At 34.9% G+C, this 26152-nt stretch overlaps 1 annotated feature.

Annotated features, from left to right (window-relative positions):
* Positions 23084-23736: an enhancer, noted in NCBI's record as "NANOG-H3K27ac-H3K4me1 hESC enhancer chr4:63597696-63598348 (GRCh37/hg19 assembly coordinates)". NCBI's record gives its function as "activates a minimal SCP1, AML or CMV promoter by ChIP-STARR-seq in primed H9 embryonic stem cells {active_cell/tissue: H9 hESC(primed)}" and the evidence as "EXISTENCE:reporter gene assay evidence [ECO:0000049][PMID:30033119]".

Here is a 26152-nt window from a genome sequence, read left to right as displayed (position 1 = left end):
TTTTTGACTTCTAATAGATTAAGAGTGAACAGTGGCAAAACCATTACCGACAACCTTGTTTTCTCTGTTAAAATAATCTTCAATTTGAGAGGAAAAAATGTGTCTAGCTAAACCAGGCCATCACGTTCTGGAGGCAGAATGGTCAACAGAATGAGGAATATTATATATTTATGGCCATTTCTATAAAATCTACATATTTTTGTTAATATCCCACAGATCCACGTGTTGCTGTCTTTTTCTCTTCTTGCCTTGAACATAGGCATGATGGCTGTACCTATAGCAGCCTCCCTGAAATCATAAGGGAAAGTAATCATGACCAAAATGATTAAAAGTAAAAAATAAAGCATATTTAAACACAATTATGAAATACTATGAAGATATAGAAATCATTTGTATAAGAATGTTTATTGGCAAGGAATTGACCACAATACATGGCAGAAGTTTTAAATGGTGTGGCAATGTTCACAAATATGGTATTATTTTGCAAATACATGGAAGGAAACAGCAGTGTGAAAAGTCTGGGTGTTCTCTGGCAGTGACATAAATAAAGTGAAACTAGAAGCAATCTACTGTAAGTGCAAAGAATAATGGGACTGCATTCTCAGTTATAGGAATTAAGAACTGTAATAAAGCCAACTAAAAGCTAATAAGCAATTTATTATTAACATGCATGAGCTAACATTTCTTTTTGTTTGTCTGCAGAAATAATATCATCTAAGAACAGAACATTTTCAAAATAAAAAATTATTCAAATGTCATTTGAATTATTTCACCAAGTGCTTTTGAGTAGTTTTTGTTAACTACTCAAAACGAAGAGATTCAAACAACAATTTATTATTGTGTTTCAATATTCTTTGGGTCAGAAGTCTGGGCAAAGCCTGGATTTTCTCAGCATCACAACCTTTGGGGCCTCTGCTGGGATAATTAGAATGGCTGGGGCTGAATCAGCTGAAGCTAGTGAAGTTTCTCTAGTGAAGTTTTTCTGTCTCTGTGTTTCTCTCTCTCTCTCTCTCTCTCTCTCTCTCTCTCTCTCTCTCTCTCTCTTTTCAACCCACCCCTAACCCCACCACTCTCCTCTCCCTTCTCATGGCCTCTTCATGTGGTTACCATGGGCTTTCACACAGTTTGGACACTAAGTCCAGAGCTCCAAGTAAAAGAAAGTGGAAACTTCCAAACCTCTCACAAACTAGGTCCCAAAGTGACAAACCTCACTTCCGCATGCTCAAAGCCTAGATTTGAGGGGATGGAACTTAGTCCCCCGCTTTCAAAAGGAGGGATGTCAAAGAATTTGTGACCACCTTTAATCTGTCACAATATTTATATGTGTTTATATGTGTATTATTAAGTGGTCAGATATCTTCCAATTAAAATGAAACAATATAGCTTAAATTAAAAAGAAAGAAGTTTTAACTAAAAAGTTGAAACAAGTCATATATGCCATTACCCTGTTCAAAGTAACCTTTAATCATCATTTACATTCATGCTTTACAAACTGTTCTATCAGATCCAGGGCTTCCAGCTGTTGAGAGAAGTCAGGAAAGAAGATGCTGAATGATTGCCATTTCTCACATATGCCCCAAAGCCCATAGCAAATTCATCTTCAAAACAAAAATTTGTGTGTTATTAATATATGTGGCTGAATCTTCAGGAAGATTTTATTTGAAGGAGAAAGTCCATATATATGAAAATACAGAAATTCCTAAGCTATACCAGGGGTCTCTTCAAATATTAATATGGATTTAGTTATAAATGTCATGTTGTTGTAAATATTATCTGCACAATAATGCATTTATATAGATGGAGATTCTTAAAGGAACATATGTATATTTTAGTTTTAAATTATTGAAAAAGGCCTTAGGCCAAATAAAATATAATATCGACAATAATGAAAGAAATTTCATTAATTCTGCTATTCTATTTTTGATCATCTTCGTTTTGTGGTTTAGCAATTTATAAACCTTGTTATAAGTTTATTTCACAACTATATTTTAATGGCTGTCATGCCTGAAAAATATACCATCAAAGATGTATAGATCTAAAAGGAAGGAAGCTATCACTATTGACAATATCTTTCTGCTGATTAGCATATCTAACCTAAACAACCAACTATTCACAGTTCTTTATTAAAAAGTTGATAATAACCACTTAGAAGTGAATGGGAAATTATTGCATAGTAAATTTGTTTAAATTTCTCCTGAATCTAGTTGTTGAGAAGATTTTACATAGATAAGAAAATTATATTTTCAATTACCTTTTTTGGGTTTTCTTATGTGTTACATAAGGGATTTAAATCTAACTTACTAGCCTTATTATAACAATAAAATTATGTGATAACTGGCACAATTTCAAACACCTGTTTTTAAAATGGCAATGTCTATAGCACAAGCTTGTTTTGAAAAGAAATAACTTTCCCACTCATTGTAAAAAGGTCACCTTTCTGTTGACAGAACAGAACTTTTATATTTATTCTCAATTTTATAACACCTCAATAGGTTATTACTGGCAGTTGCTTGTCATTCAACAAAATGTCAACAAATTCAGAGCACCATTTTTGTAAAATAAAAATAACAAAATTCAGCTTTAAGATTCACAATTCTTTGAAGGACTACGTGAAAGTAGCAAGTAAAATATTGGGCTGCAAAGATTTTAATGATAATAACTTATGTCAATAACAAATGAGGTAAAACTTTACAATCCAAATGTGTTCTATTAAAACACTAATCATATTTAGGATATTTTGGTACATAATTATATAATATCAAAATAAGCTGAAAGTTTATGTGACAGCGAGGGAACAATGACGAACCCTCTGTCCTATGGAATTCAAGCCTCCCTGAGAATACACGTTTTACTAAATGAGCAAGAGTCCCAATGACAAGCCATAAATTGAGTTGTAAAAACTAAATGCTCTCCTAATGTTTTTTTTTTGTATAAATATATGGAGTACAAGTGCAATTTGGTTACATGTATAGATTGCATAGTAGTTAAGTCAGGAATTTTAAGGTATCTGTCACCCAAATAATGTACATTGTACCCATTATGTAATTTCTCATCATCTACCCTCCCTCCAACCCCTCGACCCTTCCAAGTCTCCAATATCTGTGATTCCACACTCTATGTCTGTATGTACGCATTATTTAGGTCCCATTTGTAAATAAAAACATGAGATATTTGTCTTTGTTTATGAGTTTAAGGAAATATATTCTTATATATCTTCCTTTATTTCTATAGAACACATAAGAAACACCTTGATGTGTATGCTTGCCACTGTGTAGACAACCTGTCCATAGTCTGCCGACTGTAAGGAACTATATAATCTCTTACAATCCAGTCTATATAACATTACTAGAGCAAGAGTAAGGCTCCTGAAACCAGTGCTCAAAAAGCTTTATGTTCTCTTCCTTGGATAGAGACAATGTGCAGATGACATACTGTGGCAGTCAAGGCCCACTATTTTCATATCTAAATCAGCCTTTCCCCATGACCTTCCCCAGAAAAATGAATTATATGGATCAATTATATAAAGATATTGCTTTCAACTGGATGTGGCTGTTTTCCTATCTCAGGGATTTTACTATTTCATTATCTTCTGCTCCTCTCTTACCATAATCACTGCCTCAACAAATTCTACTTCTTTCAAATCCACCTCACCCATGACTTTTTCTTATTTTCATCCCCCTGATTTGGGAATGTGTGTGTATTTCATCAAGCATGTATACTAACATTTTATCCCAATAACACAAAGGAAAAAAGACTAGCTTCAGGGCAATTTGGGAAAATGCCCTTTTTCTCCCACTATATTAAAGGGAAGTATTGTGACTTTCACATATTTATGTTCTTTTAAACACACATATCTGGATATATCGGGGGTCGATAGGTTTGTTAAATTTAAATTTTGCTCATTTATGAGGACTTTTACTAATTAATATGAGAAAGATATATTCAAAGAGTTTTCTAATATCCCTAGATTAGTAAAAGTATAACTAGTCAATTTCTAAGCTTTCTGCCAGTCTAACTTCAGAAACAATATTAATTTGTCTTTCTCTGCTTATTTACTTTTATAAATTTTCATTTCATTTATATTAATAATGATTTGTATATGTTAATTACTATAATAAAGTTGTGATTGTCATTATTTTTCTAAATGAGTTAAACTAAGTGTAAGAAATGATGACTACTATCATAGTAATTTTTAAACATAAAGGGAAAATGTATGGAAACCTTTAATTGCAGAAGGAAATACTCTAGTATTTACACACACAGTAAAAGAACATTCTGTACCATAAATAATTACTAAGCATTGATAAGTTCAGTGCACAATTTTCCTAGATATTCAAGCATATAAAATAAATAAACCCTGAACTTGACATTCCAGATACCTTATAAAATTCTGGAAGACAATGATGTATTTTTAAAGCCATTTAATAAGCATTCAGCAACATTTCTTTTTTGAAATCAGCTTTTTCCAATTAAACTGTAGAAGTGAAAACAGTTTATGCCTTTATTTGATGTGATAACCCCATATGTCAGAGTTATGGCATACAATTCCAGATAACACAAAGAAATAAAGACTAGCTTCAGGGTAATTTTTCTGGTATACAATTTTATGATTATAATAAATATTTCTTTATTAAAATCTTGTGTTATCTGTTGATTGAAAGTGCATTAGGTTTTGAGTGGATATTGAAAGCTCTGCTGTAGATTTTAAATTGGATTGTTACAAAATACTTCACTGACATGAGTATTGAACTCAGAAGATTACTTGAGAAACCCATAGAAAAATAATCTTAAAATTTTTTTTCTGTCCTCAAGTGTAATTTTTTATTAAATGGCACTTTTTTATTGATGGCATTATTTCCTATTGACTTCTTATTTCTAAGGTAAGCAACTAACGTTTTAAAAAGCAAAAACATGTGAATAGAAATAGGTTGCTTGGGCTCAACAATAGAATTGAGTTCTTCTAGTCAAGGTTATCAAAATGCTTATTTAACCAGAAAGAAGTGTTGTTTTTCAACATGATCAGTTGTCTCTTGGTTTCTTGAATCACTGGAGACCATTTAGAATGAGTCTTTAGGGGATTTACTGCTTAGAATAAGAAAGTGAGTTCTAAAATGATTATTCTAAAGAAGAAAAAATTTGTACTCCTCAACAGTGAATGTACTTGTCCAAAAAAGAATATCCCTATAAATACTGGCAAGTGTGTTCAAAGATTTTATAAAGCTAATTTAAATGCATGTGTACTGAAGTTACCAAAAGTAGTTTATGATCTGAGGCAAGGCTTCAGTTTATTTCAATTCTGAAGGAAAGATAAAAGTATATTATATGAAAAAGGTGAACATAATGTTCTCATTTTCTATAATAATTTTGAAACATTTGGAAATTTATATAGTTATTGTGTTCCAATGGGAGACAGAAAACTTTCTTAGGGATATTTTACTTAATCATTTATTCACCTATTAAATATTGTCTAATATATGTCAGTTGCAGTGCTTAACCTTGAAAGGAACTCCCATCACCTAATTTCAAGGAGCACCAAAACTAATGGAGGGAATAAATGCATTAATCACAAATGCAAATGTACAGAATACATGAAAAGGAAGAAGGGACAGCTATTTCAAACCCAAGTCAGTTACAAATGGCTTCCCAGAGGAAATGACAGCGGACTGAATTTCAGTAGGTGAGTAAAGATTATTTAGACACAGGAAAGAGAAAATGAGATGTAATAAATGCTAATAAACTTAGCATGCTGTGCCTGGGGGGAAGCAACCCAACATGGGGCTTTGAAAGCTTAAAATGCAAGGCACTGCATGACTAGATATGTGTCAAGGAACAAGTCAGAGGGCAAACCATGGCCACCCCTGAATGTTATTGAAAGTGACCTGTAAATGAAGGTACACCCCAGAAAGCTGTTCAGCAAAAGAGTAGAGTTGTTGAATTGCATTTTAGAGAGATACCGGGTGGCTTTGTAACCTGTAAATGTGAGTGGGGCAAGGAGAAAGCAGAAAGACTGACAAACAGAAACATTAAAATACAGCCCTAAATGACCGTGTCCTGCCTTCTTTTATGGATGTCCTCTCCACCTTCTCTGCCCAGTATACTCTGTTCCAGCCACCCTGGCTTCACTAGTCATTCATGAACACAAAATGTACTCAAAGCTTTTGCATTTTCTGATCCTTCATCCTGGAATGTTCTTCCCTCAGTCACCCAGAAGATGTTTTCCTGAACATCATTCAGGGCATTACTCAAATTTCACTTTATGGACAGTCTGTGTAAATGGCACCCCTCTCTCTGCAACCCCATACTGCATCATTCTCTATTTATGTACTCACTTTCTTTCTCGACAAAACACTTCTTGTCACCAGCCATAATCTAAATTATTTTATTTTCTTTGTTCACCTACTATAATGTAATTTCCATGAGAGAAGGAAACTTGTTTGACTTGCTGCTGAATCTCCAGAACCTGCAATGGTGTATGACATATAAAAGACACTCAATAACTATTATTGAGTGAATGAATGACAATAATAATAATAATAATAATGACAATCACTGTTAGCATTTATTAAGCACATACCATGTGTCACATATTGTCTTAATTATGCCTTTAATATATGTGATCTCAATCAATCATCCTAACCTGATGATCATACTATAACAATTGTTTATATATGCAACAGGGATTGGAAAAAAGCTTAATAAAGTTTTTTTATATTATTATACTTTAAGTTCTGGAGTACATGTGCAGAACGTGCAGGTTTGTTACATAGGTATACACATGCCATGGTGGTTTGCTGAACCATCAACCCGTCACCTACATTAGGTATTTCTCCTAATGCTATCCCTACCCTAGCCCCTTACCCCCCTGACAGGCTCCAGTGTGTGATGTTCCCCTACCTGTGTCCATGTGTTCTCATTGTTCAAACTCCCACTTATGAGTGAGAATATGTGGTGTTTGGTTTTCTGTTCTTGTGTTAGTTTGCTGAGAATGATGGTTTCCAGCTTCATCCATGTCCCTGTAAAGGACATAAACTCATCCTTTTTTATGGCTGCATAATATTCCATAGTGTATATGTGCCACATTTTCTTTATCCAGTCTATCATTGATGGGCATTTGGGTTAGTTCCAAGTCTTTGCTATTGTGAACAGTGCCACAATAAGCATTCATGTGCATGTGTCTTTATAGTAGAATGATTTATAATCCTTTGGGTGTATACCCACTAATGGGATTGCTATTGCTAGGTCAAATGGTATTTCTAGTTCTAGATCCTTGAGGAATTGCCATATTGTCTTCCACAATAGTTTAACTAATTTACACTCCCACCAACAGCGTAAAAGTGTTCCTATTTTTCCACAACCTTTCTAGCATCTGTTGCTTCCTGACTTTTTAATGATCGTCATTCTAACTGGCATGAGATGGTATCTCATTGTGGTTTTGATTTGCATTTCTCTAATGACCAGTGATGATGAGATTTTTTTCATATTTGTTGGCTACATAAATGTCTTCTTTTGAGAAGTGTCTGTTCATATCCTTCAATTTTTTGAAGGAATTGTTTTTTACTTGTAAATTTGTTTAAGTTCTCTGTAGATTCTGGATATTAGCCCTTTGTCAGATGGATAGATTGCAAAATTTTTCTTTCATTCTGTAGGTTGCCTGTTCCCTCTGATGATAGTTTCTTTTGCTGTGCAGAAGCTCTTTAGTTTAATTAGATCCCATTTGTCAATTTTGGCTTTGGTTGCATTGCTTTTGGTGTTTTAGTCATGAAGTATTTTCCCATGCCTATGTCCTGAATGGTATTGCCTAGGTTTTCTTCTAGGGTTTTTATGGTTTTAGGTCTTATGTTTAAGTCTTTACTCCATCTTAAGTTAATTTTTGTATAAGGTGTAAGGAAGGGGTCCAGTTTCAGTTTTCTGCATAGGGCTAGCCCGTTTTCCCAACACCGTTTATTAAATAAGGAATTCTTTCCCCATTGCTTGATTTTGTCAGGTTTGTCAAAGATCTGATGGTTGTAGATGTGTGGTGTTACATCTGAGGCCTCTATTCTGGTCCATTGGACTATATATCTGTTTTGGTTCCAGTACCATGCTGTTTTGGTTACTGTATACTTGTAGCATAGTTTGAAGTCAGGTAATGTGATGCCTCCAGCTTTGTTCTTTTTGCTTAGAATTGTCTTGGCTATGCAGGCTCTTTTTTGGTTCCATATGAAATTTAAAGTAATGTTTTCTAAGTCTGTGAAGACAGTCAATGATAGCTTGATGGGGATAGGATTGAATCTACACATTACTTTGGTCAGTATGGCCATTTTCACAATATTTATTCTTCCTATGTATGAGCATGGAACATTTTTCCATTTATTTGTGTCCTCTTGTATTTCCTCGAGGAGTGTTTTGCAGTTCTCCTTGAAGAGGTCCTTCACATCCCTTGTAAGTTGTATTCCTAGGTATTTTCTTCTCTGTGTAGCAATTGGGAATGGGCATTCACTCATGATTTCGCTTTCTGTTTGTCTGTTATTAGTGTATAGGAATGCTTGGATTTTTGCACATTGATTTTGTATCCTGAGACTTTGCTGAAGTTGCTTATCAGCTTAAGGAGATTTTGGGATGAGATGATAGAATTTTCTACATATACAATCATGTCATCTGCAAACAGAGACAATTTGACTTCCTCTCTTCTTGTCTGAATATGCTTTCTTTCTTTCTCTTGCCTGATTGCCCTAGCCAGAACTTCCAATACTGTGTTGAGGAGGAGTTTTGGGAGAGGGCCATCCTTATTTGTGTCGGTTTTCAAAGGGAATCCTTCCAGTTTTTGCCCATTCAGTAAGATATTGGCTGGGGTTTGTCATAAATAGCTGTTACTATGTTGAGATATATTCCATCAATATCTAGTTTACTGAGAGTTTTTAGCATAAAGCGGGGTTGAATTTTGTTGGAGGCCTTTTCTGCATCTATTGAGATAATCGTGTGGTTTTTGTCATTGGTTCTGATTATGTGATGGATTACGTTTCTTGATTTGTGTATGTTGAAACAGTCTTGAATCTCAGGTGTGAACTTGACTTCATTGTGGCGGATAAGCTTTTTGATGTGCTGCTGGGTTCAGTTTACCAGTATTTTATTGAAGATTTTCGCATTGGTGTTCATCAGGGATATTGGCCTGAAATTTTCTTTTTTTGTTGTGTCTCTGTCAGCTTTTAGTATCTGAATGATGCTGGCCTCATAAAATGAGTTATGGAGAATTCCCTCTTTTTCTATTGTTTGGAATTTTTTTTAATGTTTGTTGAATATTCATTTCTCTTTTTTTATTATACTTTAAGTTTTAGGGTACATGTGTACAATGTGCAGGTTTGTTACATATGCATACATGTGCCATGTTGGTGTGCTGCACCCATTAACTCATCATTTAACATTAGGTATATCTCCTAATGCTATCTCTACCCCATCCCCCCACCCCACAACAGGGCCTGGTGTGTGATGTTCCCCTTCTTGTGTCCATGTGCTCTCATTGTTAACTTCCCACTTATGAGTGAGAACATGCGGTGTTTGGTTTGAGAAGGAATGTTACCAGCTTCTCTTTGTACCTCTGGTAGAATTTGGCTGTGAATTTGTCCAGTCCTGGGCTTTTTTTGGTTTGTAGGCTATTAATTGCTGCCTCAATTTCAGAACTTGTTATTGGTCTGTTCAGGGATTTGACTTCTTCCTGATTTAGTCTTGGGATGGTGTATGTGTCCAGCAATTTATCCATTTCTTCTAGATTTTATAGTTTATTTGTGTAGAGGTGTTTATAGTATTCTCTGATGTTAGTATGTATTTCTGTAGGATCAGTGGTGATATCCTGTTTTTTTTTTTAATTGCATCTATTTGATGCTTCTGTCTTTTTTTCTTTATTAGTCTGGCTAGCAGTCTATTTTGTTGATCTTTTCAAAATCCAGCTCCTGGATTCATTGATTCTTTTGAAGTGTTTTTCGTGTCTCTATCTCCTTCAGTTCTGCTCTGATGTTAGTTATTTCTTGTCTTCTGCTAGCTTTTGAATTTGTTTGCTCTTGCTTCTCTACTTTTTTTAATTGTGATGTTAGGAGGTCAATTTTAGATCTTTCCTACTTTCTCTTGTGGGCATTTAGTGCTATAAGTTTCCCTCTAAAAACTGCTTTAAATGTGTCCCAGAGATTCTGGTATGTTGTGTCTTTGTTCTCATTGGTTTCAAATAACGTCTTTATTTCTGCCTTCATTTCGTTATGTACCCAGTAGTCATTCAGGAGCAGGTTGTTCAGTTTCCATGTAGTTGGGCAGTTTTGAGTGAGTTTCTTAATCCTGAGTCCTAATTTGTTTGCACTGTGGTCTGAGAGACTGTTTGTTATGATTTTTGTTCTTTTGCATTTGCTGAGGAGTGTTTTACTTCCAATTATGTGGTCAATTTTAGAATAAGTGCAGTGTGGTGCTGAGAAGAATGTGTATTCTGTTGATTTGGGGTGGAGAATTCTGTAGATGTCTATTATGTCTTCTTGGTCCAGAGCTGAGTTCAAGTCCTGGATATTCTTCTTAATTTATTTTCTGTCTCATTGATCTGTCTAATATTGACAGTGGGGTATTAAACTCTTCCACTATTATTGTGTGGGAGTCTAAGTCTCTTTGTAGGTCTCTAAGAACTTGCTTTATGAATCTGGGTGCCCCTGTATTGGGTGCATATATATTTAGGATAGTTAACTCTTCTTGTTGCATTGATCCCTTTACCATTATGTAATGCCCTTCTTTGTCTCTTTTGATCTTTGTTGGTTTAAAGTCTGTTTTATCAGAGACTAGAAATGCAACCCCTGCTTTTTATTGCTTTACATTTGCTTGGTAAATATTCCTCCATCCCTCTATTTTGAACCTATGTGTGTCTTTACACTTGAGATGGGTCTCCTGAATACAGCACACTGGTGGGTCTTGACTCTTTATCCAATTTGCCAGTCTGTGTCTTTTAATTGGGGCATTTAGCCCATTTACATTTAAGGTTAATATTGTTATGTTTGAATTTGATCCTGTTATTTTGATGCTCGCTGGCTATTTTGCCTCTTAGTTGATGCACTTTTTTCATAGTGTCAATGGTCTTTAAAATTTGCTATGTTTTTTGCAGTGGCTGGTGCCGATTATTTCTTTCCATGTTTAGTGTTTCCTTCATCAGGAGCTCTTGTAAGGCAGGCCTGGTGGTGACAAAATCTTTACAGACAAGCAAATGATGAGAGATTTTGTCACCAATAAAGTGTTTTTAAGTAAAGCCTAGAGAGAGTTAATTTTAAAATATGTGGATATAAACTTTGCAAGATTTAGTAAGTGAGAGAAATAAAAGTTAATGCCCAGGTTGTCCATTGAAGTAACATTTGTTGAAAATTCTTGCCATCAACTTCAAAAATACAAAAGCAGAATATAAAGGGCAAAATGTATTCAACCTTTGCATATGTACAGCAAGCAGCATAAAAATTACATCACCAACCCTAACCACATATTTGCTCTCATTCTACAATGTTGAGCTTTATTTTATTTTAATTGTGCAAATAAAAACTGAAGCAAAAAATAGTTAGAACCAGTTAAGTCAAGGAATTTTTATTATTAGGAATTGTTTATGCTTTAGAGACAAGGAAAATTGTTATTGTCTCAATTGGGTCATAAAAGGAAAAAAATTCAAGTCAAAATTAAGTCAAATTTTTTCAAGTATGTGTGCTTCTAACTTTGGGGACACATTTACTAATTTTTTTTATTGTGAAGTCTCAGCAATCCCTTGTATTTAGTGAGATAAATTAACGGTTTGTCTTCTATAGTTGATTATTTTTTCTTAAGACTAATGGGCATTTTTGTTATCTATGATTTTCTCTTTTTATTATTTACTTAAATTTAAGAGAAAATAAAATAAGATAGGTTGGCAAATTTCAAAACAGTATTGTTCTATAAAGAAGAGCCTTTGTTTGTGTGTTCTAAATTAGTTCAATATAAATCACTACATTCCTAACATGGGAAGCTTGGCATAGAGTATGTCAGTATATATGAGTTAAGATTATAACATTTTTAGTTAGAAAAAGTTTAACATGAGTCATCTGATAACTAAAGAATATTGCCATTTTTATTTGCTTTATAGCAACTTGTTCCTATCTCCAAATTCTCTGTCATTTTTCTTAGACCCATGTACATGACCCAAGATGTCACACCAAATGCATATGTTGGCTTGACAAGAATATTTGCTGATAGCTGTATTTAGTAATGTGCTAGAGTTCTCTCCAGCTCCACGTTTAGTGACATCACATTGGTAGCTGGAAATCAGTGACGGTAGGAATATTTACACCAAAGAAATTAGCAAACAATATAAGCAGGTGTGTGTGTGTGTGTGTGTGTGTGTGTGTGTGTGTGTGTGTTTATTTTATCCTGAAGAACAGGTTGCTAAATATTACCATCACATGACTGGCTATATCCTACTATTGATCATTTAAAGACTATACCATTATATCAATACATCTTCAAAAGTAAAAATAAGATAGAGTGATATTAGCAAAAATAAAATCTTTCCAATGCCTCATAAAGTTGTGCCCCAAATTAATTGATGTGTTGAAATTAGTAGAAAGTTTGTGACACTTAGCTAAACTAAAATACATATAAATTAGTTTAAGGGGCCTGAATATATAATCTGTAAACCAGTGACTTTCTTTCTAGAAATTACTGCATTCAACAAAGACAGAAGTGATTTTCAATCACACTTTTCTATCTAAAGACCTCTAGTTACCATAGTGCTGTCATTTATGACTCAGTACTGGAAGTAAGTTTCTGTTTATTTTCCAGTCTCTCTTCGTAACTACTTCCAGAAATTTCTGCATTAAAAAGTATCATCGATGAACAGAATCTGTCAATGATTCAAAAGGCAAATACAAAATTATATTTTAATTAAAAGTTGAAATGTTAAATCGAATGTTACGTAATAATTTTGTTCAGTATGCTAGTGTTTGAATTACCATGTTATATATTATATTAATATTTTACATATTATCCATTGATTCCTCATGCAAGATCAGTTTACATGTAAAAACTAGGGTTAGAGTGCTTGTGCTGTGCTGAGGGATTGATAGTAAGAAAGTGGTTGAATAATAATTGGAACCCACTCTGAAGCCCCAGATCTCTTTCTCTTGTCTGGTTGTACAGTTTGCTCTAACATTCTCTACATTAAGTATCTTGTGGCAAAAATGGAAGAAAAAAGTCATTTGAAAATCCCACAAAGTGCAAAATAGAGTCCTGATGCAGAAAGAAAATTTAGAAGATAAAACTTGAGAGGCTTTGTTTAGTGATGGAGTCAGACAGATCTTAATAAATATCCTATTCCATCAATCAGGTGAACAGTGTGAATATGGGGAAATTATTTGGTCTCTCTGAGCCTCAATGTTATCATCTGTAACACAGTTATGAGAATTAGATATGAAATTGCATATAAAACCTCTAGTGTAGACTCAGGTAATAGTGAGGGCTCAATAAAAGGTTAATATAACTGCTATTGCTGAAAGGTAAGTTAAAATAATAAGTGAAGAGAATATAAATATCAATATTGATTTATTTTCCAAAAGCAATTTTCAATTAAGACAACAATAACAATTTTAGAAATGGGTTTGACTTCAAAAATATTCCACTAAGAGACATTTTGTTATATGTGTGTGTGTTTGTATATATACATATATCTATAACTATATATATAACTATAACTATATATAACTATAACTATATATATAACTATAACTATATATAACTATAACTATATATATAACTATAACTATATATATAACTATAACTATATATATATAACTATATATAGTTTTTTGCTTAAATTAAAAACTAAGGCCCAAGAAGGGAAAAACCGAAAGATGAGAAAGAATGAGAGAATTGAGCAGTTTTACATCATTTTTTAAAAATTGTAATTTCCCTGGGAAATTGTGACTAAAATGAAAATGCCACAAAATCAAATCACTATCATTATTGTAAAATCTGCTAGTATATATGAATATTAAGTACACTGTTTAAAATCTGTGTAGTATATATGAATATTAAGGATATTGTTTAAAATATTAAAATATGTAAGGAAAGAGAGATTGAGTAGGCTTGGCCTTTTCAAAGTGTAGATCAAGAGTAAGTATTATTGCTTTATATTATCAAATGCAAAATAAATTTACAGGAGTGAACAGTAAAGTGTAAAACTGGCAAATTATAAAATTCAATGTTGGGTAAGATAGGAAGTGATTATTATAACTCAGTGTCTTCCTCACCTGCCCTCAAAATTCATCTCAAAATTTAACATTCTGATAAATACTTTTGCTGCTATCTCATAGCAGTTAATCATGCCTGTTGCATGTGGTAGTACCATCACTTTTCCACAGTCGGTGGACCACTTCTCGGGTCATGTCAGTGTCTGCAAGCAACACAAGTATCATCTGTTGGTTCTTTTTTCACACTAAAGCAATGAATCAAGGGCAAAAGCAAAGCTACTGTTGATATTTGGCAGGATATATTCTGGACTCGTAAACCTGCTTTCTGAATTAAAACATCCATCAATGATGTCTCAACCACCTCGTCCATCTGTCTCCTTCCTTTAAAATAAAAATGAAAAAAATGAGTACTTGAGAGGCAAGAACTTTTTCAATCTTTGATATTTAGAAATGTACTGATGAAATTCAAAGAATGATTTTTTCATTTCTTTTCTCGTATTTTCATTATCATTGAAATAGTTGTAAATGAATCAGTATTGTGATCCTGAAATTTTCACTCCATATAACTTTAACTTTACTATTTAATAGTATGCATTTTATATAGAAGACATAATAAGGGAATCATAAAAATGCTCTTTTTTCTATGTGTGCAAATCATAAAGCAAATGAACATAGTTTAATGTAATCCCGGAAAAAATACTGGATAAATTCATAACTGTGCTCTATCATAGTAAGTAATAACCACATACACAGACAGCCCCATGCACACACAAACACACACCAACATTCTCCATGAGAACAAAGAAAAAAAATTCAAAAGTGTCTTAAGGCAGAAAATTTCTTTCCATAGAATGAATAGATTTGAGTAAAACTGTTGTTCAAATAAATATATTATCATTTATATTACTGTGTTTACTGAGAAGGTAAAACAAATTTCAGTACTTTCACCTAATTTTAATACATCTTCCTTTTATTGAACGCTACCAAGCACAAAGTATCATCATAAATTGCGTAACCTGTGATCCTCACAACAACCCGGCAATAGGCCGGGTATGGATATTCTTCCTCCTCCACAGATAATGAATTTGGGCTTTAGACAGTCACGTGGCCAGTAAGTAGCAGTGCTGAAATGATAATCCAACACTTCTGATTCCCATATCGCTGTTCATTTTGCTTTATCAAATTCAGCTAAGCTACAATGACCTTTAAAAATGCTTGTTTACTCAAAATATAATATTTAAAAGAATAAGAAAAATTAACATGCCAAGGCAACCCTGTAAGGCACTGAATGGTAGACCTGTATCCAAAAACGGACAGAATAAAAGTACGTCCCCAATTAAACTCAAAGACTAATAGTAAATAAACTATATTTTAAAAAATAATTACAACACAACATATTTAAGAAACTAGACCTACATGGGTCATATCTGATAGAGGCAGGAGAGAAGGAGTGATACAATCAGGACTTAGATCATGAAAAGCCTCAATACCAATTCAAAGATTTAATATTTTTTCTTATATATGATATAATACAAATGTGTGTATGCTGAATAGTAACATAAGACTTGCTTACATAATGTATAATCAATTAAAAATTATAAATACATAATGACTTCTAGAACATTTCTGGAGAAAATGATGGATGATGTTACCATTCCCTAAACAGGTATTATGATAAACTGAAAGTCTCATGGGAAGAGGTGGAGGAAAGGTGTTTCATGAAATCTAGTCACTCTGAGGACATAGAGACAATGAATCACAAATCTCTAATAAAAGATAAATCAGGAAGAGAAGTAATCACTGACAGATTGGTTTTAATAGAAGGAACTGAAAATTTAAAAATCAAATAACCAGTTTCTAGATGTTTTTAGAAAAAATAAATAGAAAACAAAGGAAAGAAACTTAAATAATTTCAGCCAGAGACCTCAAGTGCTAAAGCTATTTTTAGTTTTAAGTTAACCATATTTTCATTTGGGTATGTAATTTTTTTGTTATGTTTTTTGTTATACTTTAAGTTCTGGAATACATGTGCGGAACCTGCAGGTTTGTTGTATAGGTATACATGTGCCATGGTGGTTTGCTGCACCCATCAACCCAACATCTACATTATGTATTTCTCCTAATGCTGTCCTTCCCCTACCCTCCCCACCCCTCGACAGGCCCCGGTGGGTAATGTTCTCATTGTTCAACTACCACTTATGAGTGAGAACATGTGGTGTTTGGTTTTCTGTTCCTGTGTTAGTTTTCTGAGAATGATAGTTTCAGCTTCATCCATGTCCCTGCAAAGGACATGAACTCATCCTTTTTTATGGCTGCATAGCATTCCATGGTATATATGTACCACATTTTCTTTATCCAGCCTATCATTGATGGGCATTTGGGTTGGTTCCAAGTCTTTGCTATTGTGAACAGTGCCACAATAAACATATGTGTGCATGTGTCTTTATAGTAGAATGATTTCTAATCCTTTAGGTATATACTCAGTAATGGGCTTGCTAAGTCAAATGGTATTTCTGGTTCTAGAGCCTTGAGGAATTGCCACACTGTCTTTCATAATGGTTGAAATAAATTTATACTCCCACCAACAGTGTAAAAGCGTTCCTATTTCTCCACATCTTCTCCAGCATCTGTTGTTTCCTGAATTTTTAATGATCACCACTCTAACTGGCATAAGATGGTATCCCATTGTGGTTTTGATTTGCATTTCTCCAATGACCAGTGATGATGAGCTTTTTTTCATATGTTTCTTGGCCATATAAATGTCTTCTTTTGAGAAATGTCTGTTCATATCCTTCACCTACTTTTTGATGTTTTTTTTTCTTGTAAATTTTTTTTAAGTTCCTTGTCGCTTCTGGATATTTGCCCTTTGTCAGATGGATAGATTGCAAAATTTTTCCTCCATTCTGTAGGTTGCCTGTTCACTCTGATGGTAGTTTCTTTTGCTGTGCAGAAGCTCTTTAGTTTAATTAGATCCCATTTGTCAATTTTGGCTTTTGTTGCCATTGCTTTTGGTATTTTAGTCATGAAGTCTTTGCCCATGCCTATGTCCTGAATGGTATTGTCTAGGTTTTCTTCTAGGGTTTTTATAGTTTTAGGTCTTAGTTTAACTCTTTAATCCATCTTAAGTTAATTTTTGTATAAGGTGTAGGGAAGGGGTCCAATTTCAGTTTTCTGCATATGGCTAGCCAGTTTTTCCAACACCATTTATTAAGTAGAAATTTTTTCCCCATTTCTTGTTTTTGTCAGGTTTGTCAAAGATCAGATGGTTGTAGATGTGTGGTGTTATTTTTGAGGCCTCTATTCTGTTCCAATAGTCTATATCTCTGTTTTGGTACCAGTACTATACTGTTTTGGTTACTGTAGCCTTGCAGTATAGTTTGAAGTCAGGTAGCATGATGCCTCCAGCTTTGTTCTTTTTGCTTAGAATTGTCTTGGCTATGTGGACTTTTTTTTCGTTCCATATGAAATTTAAAGTAGTTTTTTCTAAGTCTGTGAAGAAAGTCAATGTTAGCTTGATGGGAATAGGATTGAATCTATAAATTACTTTGGGCGGTATGGCCATTTTCATGATATTTATTCTTCCTATTGATGAGCATGGAATGTTTTTCCATTTGTTTGTGTCCTGTCTTCTTTCTTTTAGCAGTGGTTTGTAGTTCTTCTTGAAGAGGTCCTTCATATCCCTTGTAAATTGTATTCTTAGGTATTTTATTCTCTTTGTAGCAACTGTGAATGGGAGTTAACTCATGATTTGGCTCTCTGCTTGTATATTATTGGTGTATAGGAATGCTTGTGATTTTTGCACATTGATTTTGTATCCTGAGACTTTGAAGAATTTGCGTATCAGCTTAAGGAGATTTTGGGCTGAGACGATGGGGTTTTCTACATAATACAATCATGTCATCTGCAAGCAGAGACAATTTAACTTCCTCTCTTCCTGTTTGAATACCATTTATTCTTTCTCTTGCCTGATTGCCCTGGCCAGAACTTCCAATACTATGTTGAATGGGAGTGGTGAGAGAGGGCATCTTGTCTTGTGCCAGTTTTCAAAGGGAATGCTTCCAGCTTTTGCCCATTCAGTATGATATTAGCTGTGGTTTGTCACAAATAGCTCTTACTGTTTGGAGACACGTTCTATCGATACCTTGTTTCTTGAGAGTTTTTAGCCTGAAGGGGTGTTGAATTTTATTGAAAGTCTTTTCTGCATCTATTGAGATAATCATGTGGTTTTTGTCATTGGTTCTGTTTATGTGATGGATTACATTTATTAATTTGCTTATATTGGACCAGCCTTGTATCCCAGGGATGAAGCCAACCTGATCATGGTGGATAAGCTTTTTGATGTCCTGCTGGATTCAGTTTGCCAGTATTTTATTGAGGATTTTCTCATTGATGTTCATCAGGGATATTAGCCTGAATGTAACTTAAAATGTATTATTTGAAACATCAAATACAGTATAATGAAGAGAAATCAGTACTTCAGGGTCGTTTTTATGATGATATATTTGTCAAAAGTGATGTAACTTGACACTTAGAAAATATGAATTGATAGTCTAATGCTTCCTTTAATAAAATTATAAATAGTAAAGATTAATGGGTGACAAATGAGGGAAAATTGAACATTTTTTTCTTTACCATACAAAAGGATTTAAATTTGCAGCATTTGTTACTTAGAGAACAGTATGGCAAAGTAGTCATCTATCATTGTCACTGTCTAAGAAACCCTGTAAAAAATTGAAAACGTTTCAGCCATTGAATCCATCATGAAACCATTTAAGACAGATCAAATTTCCTTTTCGTTCCTACTACTCCAGAACCCTCAGTGATCCAATTTATCTTAAATGAATGTGTTTAACTATATGTATAAAAAATCCTTAAAATTGAAATTTTTCATTGCCTAGACAAATAATACACAAAATATTAGTCAGCATTTCATAGTTCAAAATGGAATTGTCTCAAAGATAGAAATATGATTTCATTCTTAGAGTTTCACTGGTTAAAATCAATTTTAATTCAAGTATATCACTACCTATCCATTGTTGTACAAAATAGCTATTTCCCAGGTTAAGTTAAAATACAAAGACAAAATAGAATCAAAGCATAATCATGTAAAACACAATATTATATAGTGCATAAAGAACAAGTTAAGAGAAGGAAAGTGGCTTTCTAGGTACATGCATTAAAAGGATCTACAGTCTTGTGTGTTATATAGATGACTGATTAATTGTACAAATTGGAAATACCTTGTTATTTCTATAAATATAGCCAATTGGGAAGGGGACATGATAATTGACTTCAAATCTATTGCCAAAATGACTAATGTGATCAACGGCATTAATAATGTTCCCTATCTAAGTTAAAAGAGACCTAAATATAGGGTTTTGTTTTGAAGTTATGTTATGTTTTAATTCATACAGATAAAGATAAAATAAAGAACAAGGCCTTTGTGTCTATACAGGATGACTTGAAAAAAAATCCCACTAAATAGTTTCTCACTAAGGAATTTTAAAACTACTGAAAACAAACTACAAATTGTCCTGGCAAAATCTTAGCACTAAGAGTCAGAACAAGCTATATTAATTGGATTTGCATAACAAAAAGTTTGCATAATAAAAGGATTGCAAAAATTTTAAAAACACTCAACACACACTTGGATTTGTTGGAAAGTTAACCATACCACTTACTAGTTTTGACTCATTGAACTATCTTTCATTTGTATAAAACTAATTTTCTCACCTGTTAAACAGGAATAATAATACCCACCTTCAAGTGTAGTTATTAGACTGGAAATACAAAAGTATTGTATCAAGCCACTTTCTTAATAAACTCTCAAAAGTGGACTGCAAATACAAAATATTTACATGAGAATCTTGCTCTATATAGTCAATATATTTTCTTCAAATAGTTTACATATATCAAGTTGTGTAATGCCATGTTATCCCTTTTGATTTATATGACCAACTCCATCACATCCTATAAGCTTTTGTTCAAACTTACCTTAGCAATGCCTACCTGAATTCTAAAATTTATTGACCCATACCTATCCTTAGTATTCATCATCCCTCTTAACTTGGTCTATTTTTTTTTCATGGCACCTATCTCCTTTTAACATGCAATATATTTTACCTACTTATTATATTTCTTATTTCTATCTGTAATTTATTTCTAGACTCTAGGTCCCAAGTAATCAAATTTATTTTGTTGTTTTGTTTTATTCACTGATATATTCCAAACAGTTTAAAAAGTGCTTGATATATCTATGCATTCAAAAATGTTTGCTCTCGAATGAATGTAATCTTTGCTTTTAAACTTAAGGATTTAAATAAGTGATCTGCTGCGAATATTACCCAGAATAGGTGTTAAAAAAGGTTGAAAATTGACACTATTTAAACATTTACAAACAAGCAAACACCAGAACAATAAAATGTCCCACACACAAAAGAAGTACTAGTCTAATCTGGAATTGTTACTTATCCCCCAGTAGCATTAACAATAGCCACTTACACAACATCACTAAGTATTTCTAGGTGTTTCCCTTAACTCACGAATTGCTTTGTGAGACTTATTTGTCTCTCCATGTGTATATTTGCGGATACTGTTTAACATGTCAATCTCTTATCCATAAGGTTGTTCAGAATACTTTTTTGTTAAATAAAATATTAGAAATATTTTCATGACAAGAACTGCCTATTTGAGAGCAAAAGATATAAAGTCAGGGGGGGTTTTAGATATTCAAACTCAGAAATTCATATTCATCAAATTTTCTAACTTATCTAAGAGATGTAAGGCTGGTACTCTCCTTGGATTCCATAGAATTTATTTTATTTCTTTTCAACATAATGCTGTATTTCAGATATGTATGCCTTTAATTTTAAAAGATGTCTCACTAGGATGTGTCTTGCATTTACATAATGTACAGAAAGAGAAACATTTAAAATTGTTGAAGACATGTATATTTAGGATTTTTTATGAAATATTGCTTTTAGGGTGACTACACCCCTCTTTATCCCTGACCCTTCCAAACTGGCTCAATATATTTTTTTGGTCTGGAGGTAATATTAGCCTCAGCTAAGCCATGGACATATTTCTTGGAAAAACAAATGTTTCATAGAAATCCCAGAATAGGCAGATTCTGTCTCTTTGTTCTCGGAAATCTGATAGAATTCAAGTTCAAAGAAATGAGAATAAAAGGCACAGTTTGTTTTATTGAGAATAACTTAGGAGTTGATCTGTGTCTAGCTTATACATAACTATGAACAATGAAATCTGAAATAACCATACAGACATCTCACTTTCTTAAGTTCAGTTAAACATACCAAACAAGTTTATTTTACAAAAAAATAAAGTAAGTGACTAGTATACACAAATCACCGCCACTGTTCCCAGAGAATAAAAAGTTGAATAAGGAAAAAACGTCGTTCTTAAGAGTCTATTATTTTTTATAAACCAAAGAAAAAATAGGTTTATAGGGGATAAAAAAAGAGGGACTGTTTAATTCTGACTGTAGAGATAAGTAGAGGCATTATAGAGAAGGGTGCACTTCCTAAAGCACTGATTAGTCTTTGTGATTTTGGTGGATGAGGTAAAGGATTTTAGCTAAAATAAATGACATGGAAAAGGCATATTGGTGATATAAATGTTGGCATCCCCCTAAAATTTATATGTTGGAACCTAATACCTGATGTGATAATATTACAAAGTGCGACCTTTGGGAAGTGATTAAGTCCCACCTTCATGAATCAGATTAGTGGTCTTATAAAAGAGGCTGAGGACGCTCCCTTTCCTCTTCTGTCATATAAAGACACAACTAGAATGTGCCCTTTTAAATGCAGAGAGGAAGCCAACACCAGACATAGAATCTGTTGGTGACTTGATCTTACACTTCTCTCCTCCAGAATTATGAGCAAGAAATTTATGTTGTTTATAAATTATCCAGTCTAAGATATTTTGTTACAGCATTCTGAGCAGAATAAAATAGGATATAAACATGAACTTGCTCAGATTATTAGAGAATTGCATAGATACCCATTGTGAGTGTCATGAAGAGATCTATGGACAAGAAAAAGTTGGTGAAAGAAAATTGAGTGAATTGGTTGAAGCCATATATTTTTAGAAACTTAAATTACAAATTTAAGAAATTAGATTTTATAGTGTGTTTACTGTGAATATTTTGAAAGTATTTGGATAGTGTCCTTAATTACAAAAACAAGTTGGCCGGGTGTGGTGGCTCATGCCTATAATCCCAGCACTTTGGGAGGCCGAGGTAGGTGGATCACAAGGTCAGGAGATTGACACCATCCTGGCTAACACGGTGAAACCCCGTCTCTACTAAAACTACCAAAAATAAATAAATAAATGAATAAATAAATAAATAAATAAATAGCCGAGCATGATGGCATGCACCTGTAGTCGCAGCTACTGGGAAGGCTGAGGCAGGAGAATGGCGTGAACCCAGGAGGCGGAGCTTGCAGTGAGCCGAGATCGCGCCACTTCACTCCAGCCTGGGCGACAGAGCGAGACTCCATCTCAAAAAAAAAAGTGTAGGGGGGGAGCCAAGATGGCCGAATAGGAACAGCTCTGGTCTACAGCTCCCAGCGTGAGCGACGCAGAAGACGGGTGATTTCTGCATTTCCATCTGAGGTACCGGGTTCATCTCACTAGGGAGTGCCAGACAGTGGGCGCAGGCCAGTGTGTGTGCGCACCGTGCGCGAGCCGAAGCAGGGCGAGGCATTGCCTCACCTGGGAAGCGCAAGGGGTCAGGGAGTTCCCTTTCCGAGTCAAAGAAAGGGGTGACGGACGCACCTGGAAAATCGGGTCACTCCCACCCGAATATTGCGCTTTTCAGACCGGCTTAAGAAACGGCGCACCACGAGACTATATCCCACACCTGGCTCGGAGGGTCCTACGCCCACGGAATCTCGCTGATTGCTAGCACAGCAGTCTGAGATCAAACTGCAAGGTGGCAACGAGGCTGGGGGAGGGGCGCCCGCCATTGCCCAGGCTTGATTAGGTAAACAAAGCAGCTGGGAAGCTCCAACTGGGTGGAGCCCACCACAGCTCAAGGAGGCCTGCCTGCCTCTGTAGGCTCCACCTCTGGGGGCAGGGCACAGACAAACAAAAAGACAGCAGTAACCTCTGCAGACTTAAGTGTCCCTGTCTGACAGCTTTGAAGAGAGCAGTGGTTCTCCCAGCACGCAGCTGGAGATCTGAGAACGGGCAGACTGCCTCCTCAAGTGGGTCCCTGGCCCGCGAGTAGCCTAACTGGGAGGCACCCCCCAGCAGGGGCACACTGACACCTCACATGGCAGGGTATTCCAACAGACCTGCAGCTGAGGGTCCTGTCTGTTAGAAGGAAAACTAACAACCAGAAAGGACATCTACACCGGAAACCCATCTGTACATCACCATCATCAAAGACAAAAAGTAGATAAAACCACAAAGATGGGGTAAAAACAGAACAGAAAAACTGGAAACTCTAAAACGCAGAGCGCCTCTCTCCTCCAAAGGAACGCAGTTCCTCACCAGCAACAGAACAAAGCTGGATGGAGAATGATTTTGACGAGCTGAGAGAAGAAGGCTTCAGACGATCAAATTACTCTGAGCTACAGGAGGACATTCAAACAAAAGACAAAGAAGTTGAAAACTTTGAAAAAAATTTAGAAGAATGTATAACTAGAATAACCAATACAGAGAAGTGCTTAAAGGAGCTGATGGAGCTGAAAACCAAGGCTCGAGAACTACGTGAAGAATGCAGAGGCCTCAGGAGCCGATGCGATCAACTGGAAGAAAGGGTATCAGCAATGGAAGAAGAAATGAATGAAATGAAGCGAGAAGGGAAGTTTAGAGAAAAAAGAATAAAAAGAAATGAGCAAAGCCTCCAAGAAATATGGGACTATGTGAAAAGACCAAATATACGTCTGATTGGTGTACCTGAAAGTGATGTGGAGAATGGAACCAAGTTGGAAAACACTCTGCAGGATATTATCCAGGAGAACTTCCCCAATCTAGCAAGGCAGGCCAACGTTCAGATTCAGGAAATACAGAGAACGCCACAAAGATACTCCTCGAGAAGAGCAACTCCAAGACACATAATTGTCAGATTCACCAAAGTTGAAATGAAGGAAAAAATGTTAAGGGCAGCCAGAGAGAAAGGTCGGGTTACCCTCAAAGGAAAGCCCATCAGACTAACAGCGGATCTCTCGGCAGAAACCCTAGAAGCCAGAAGAGAGTGGGGGCCAATATTCAACATTCTTAAAGAAAAGAATTTTCAACCCAGAATTTCATATCCAGCCAAACTAAGCTTCATAAGTGAAGGAGAAATAAAATACTTTATAGACAAGCAAATGCTGAGAGATTTTGTCACCACCAGGCCTGCCCTAAAAGAGCTCCTGAAGGAAGCGCTAAACATGGAAAGGAACAACCGGTACCAGCCGCTGCAAAATCATGCCAAAATGTAAAGACCATCGAGACTAGGAAGAAACTGCATCAACTAATGAGCAAAATCACCAGCTAACATCATAATGACAGGATCAAATTCACACATAACAATATTAACTTTAAATGTAAATAGACTAAATTCTGCAATTAAAAGACACAGACTGGCAAGTTGGATAAAGAGTCAAGACCCATCAGTGTGCTGTATTCAGGAAACCCATCTCACGTGCAGAGACACACATAGGCTCAAAATAAAAGGATGGAGGAAGATCTACCAAGCCAATGGAAAACAAAAAAAGGCAGGGGTTGCAATCCTAGTCTCTGATAAAACAGACTTTAAACCAACAAAGATCAAAAGAGACAAAGAAGGCCATTACATAATGGTAAAGGGATCAATTCAACAAGAGGAGCTAACTATCCTAAATATTTATGCACCCAATACAGGAGCACCCAGATTCATAAAGCAAGTCCTGAGTGACCTACAAAGAGACTTAGACTCCCACGCATTAATAATGGGAGACTTTAACACCCCACTGTCAACATTAGACAGATCAAGGAGACAGAAAGTCAACAAGGATACCCAGGAATTGAACTCAGCTCTGCACCAAGCAGACCTAATAGACATCTACAGAACTCTCCACCCCAAATCAACAGATTATACATTTTTTTCAGCACCACACCACACCTATTCCAAAATTGACCACATACTTGGAAGTAAAGCTCTCCTCAGCAAATGTAAAAGAACAGAAATTATAACAAACTATCTCTCAGACCACAGTGCAATCAAACTAGAACTCAGGATTAAGAATCTCACTCAAAGCCGCTCAACTACATGGAAACTGAACAACCTGCTCCTGAATGACTACTGGGTACATAACGAAATGAAGGCAGAAATAAAGATGTTCTTTGAAACCAACGAGAACAAAGACACCACATACCAGAATCTCTGGGACGCATTCAAAGCAGTGTGTAGAGGGAAATTTATAGCACTAAATGCCTACAAGAGAAAGCAGGAAAGATCCAAGATTGACACCCTAACATCACAATTAAAAGAACTAGAAAAGCAAGAGCAAACACAATCAAAAGCTAGCAGAAGGCAAGAAATAACTAAAATCAGAGCAGAACTGAAGGAAATAGAGACACAAAAAAACCCTTCAAAAAATCAATGAATCCAGGAGCTGTTTTTTTGAAAGGATCAACAAAATTGATAGTCCGGTAGCAAGACTAATAAAGAAAAAAAGAGAGAAGAATCAAATAGACACAATAAAAAATGATAAAGGGGATATCACCACCGATCCCACAGAAATACAAACTACCATCAGAGAATACTACAAACACCTCTACGCAAATAAATTAGAAAATCTAGAAGAAATGGATACATTTCTCGACACATACACTCTCCCAAGACTAAACCAGGAAGAAGTTGAATCTCTGAATAGACCAATAACAGGCTCTGAAATTGTGGCAATAATCAATAGTTTACCAACCAAAAAGAGTCCAGGACCAGATGGATTCAC

Source organism: Homo sapiens, chromosome 4, assembly GCF_000001405.40.
Source record: "Homo sapiens chromosome 4, GRCh38.p14 Primary Assembly".
Taxonomy (NCBI): Eukaryota; Metazoa; Chordata; class Mammalia; order Primates; family Hominidae; genus Homo; species Homo sapiens.
The sequence above is the reverse complement of the archived record's forward strand: the minus strand, read 5'-3'. Positions and strand labels throughout refer to the sequence as shown.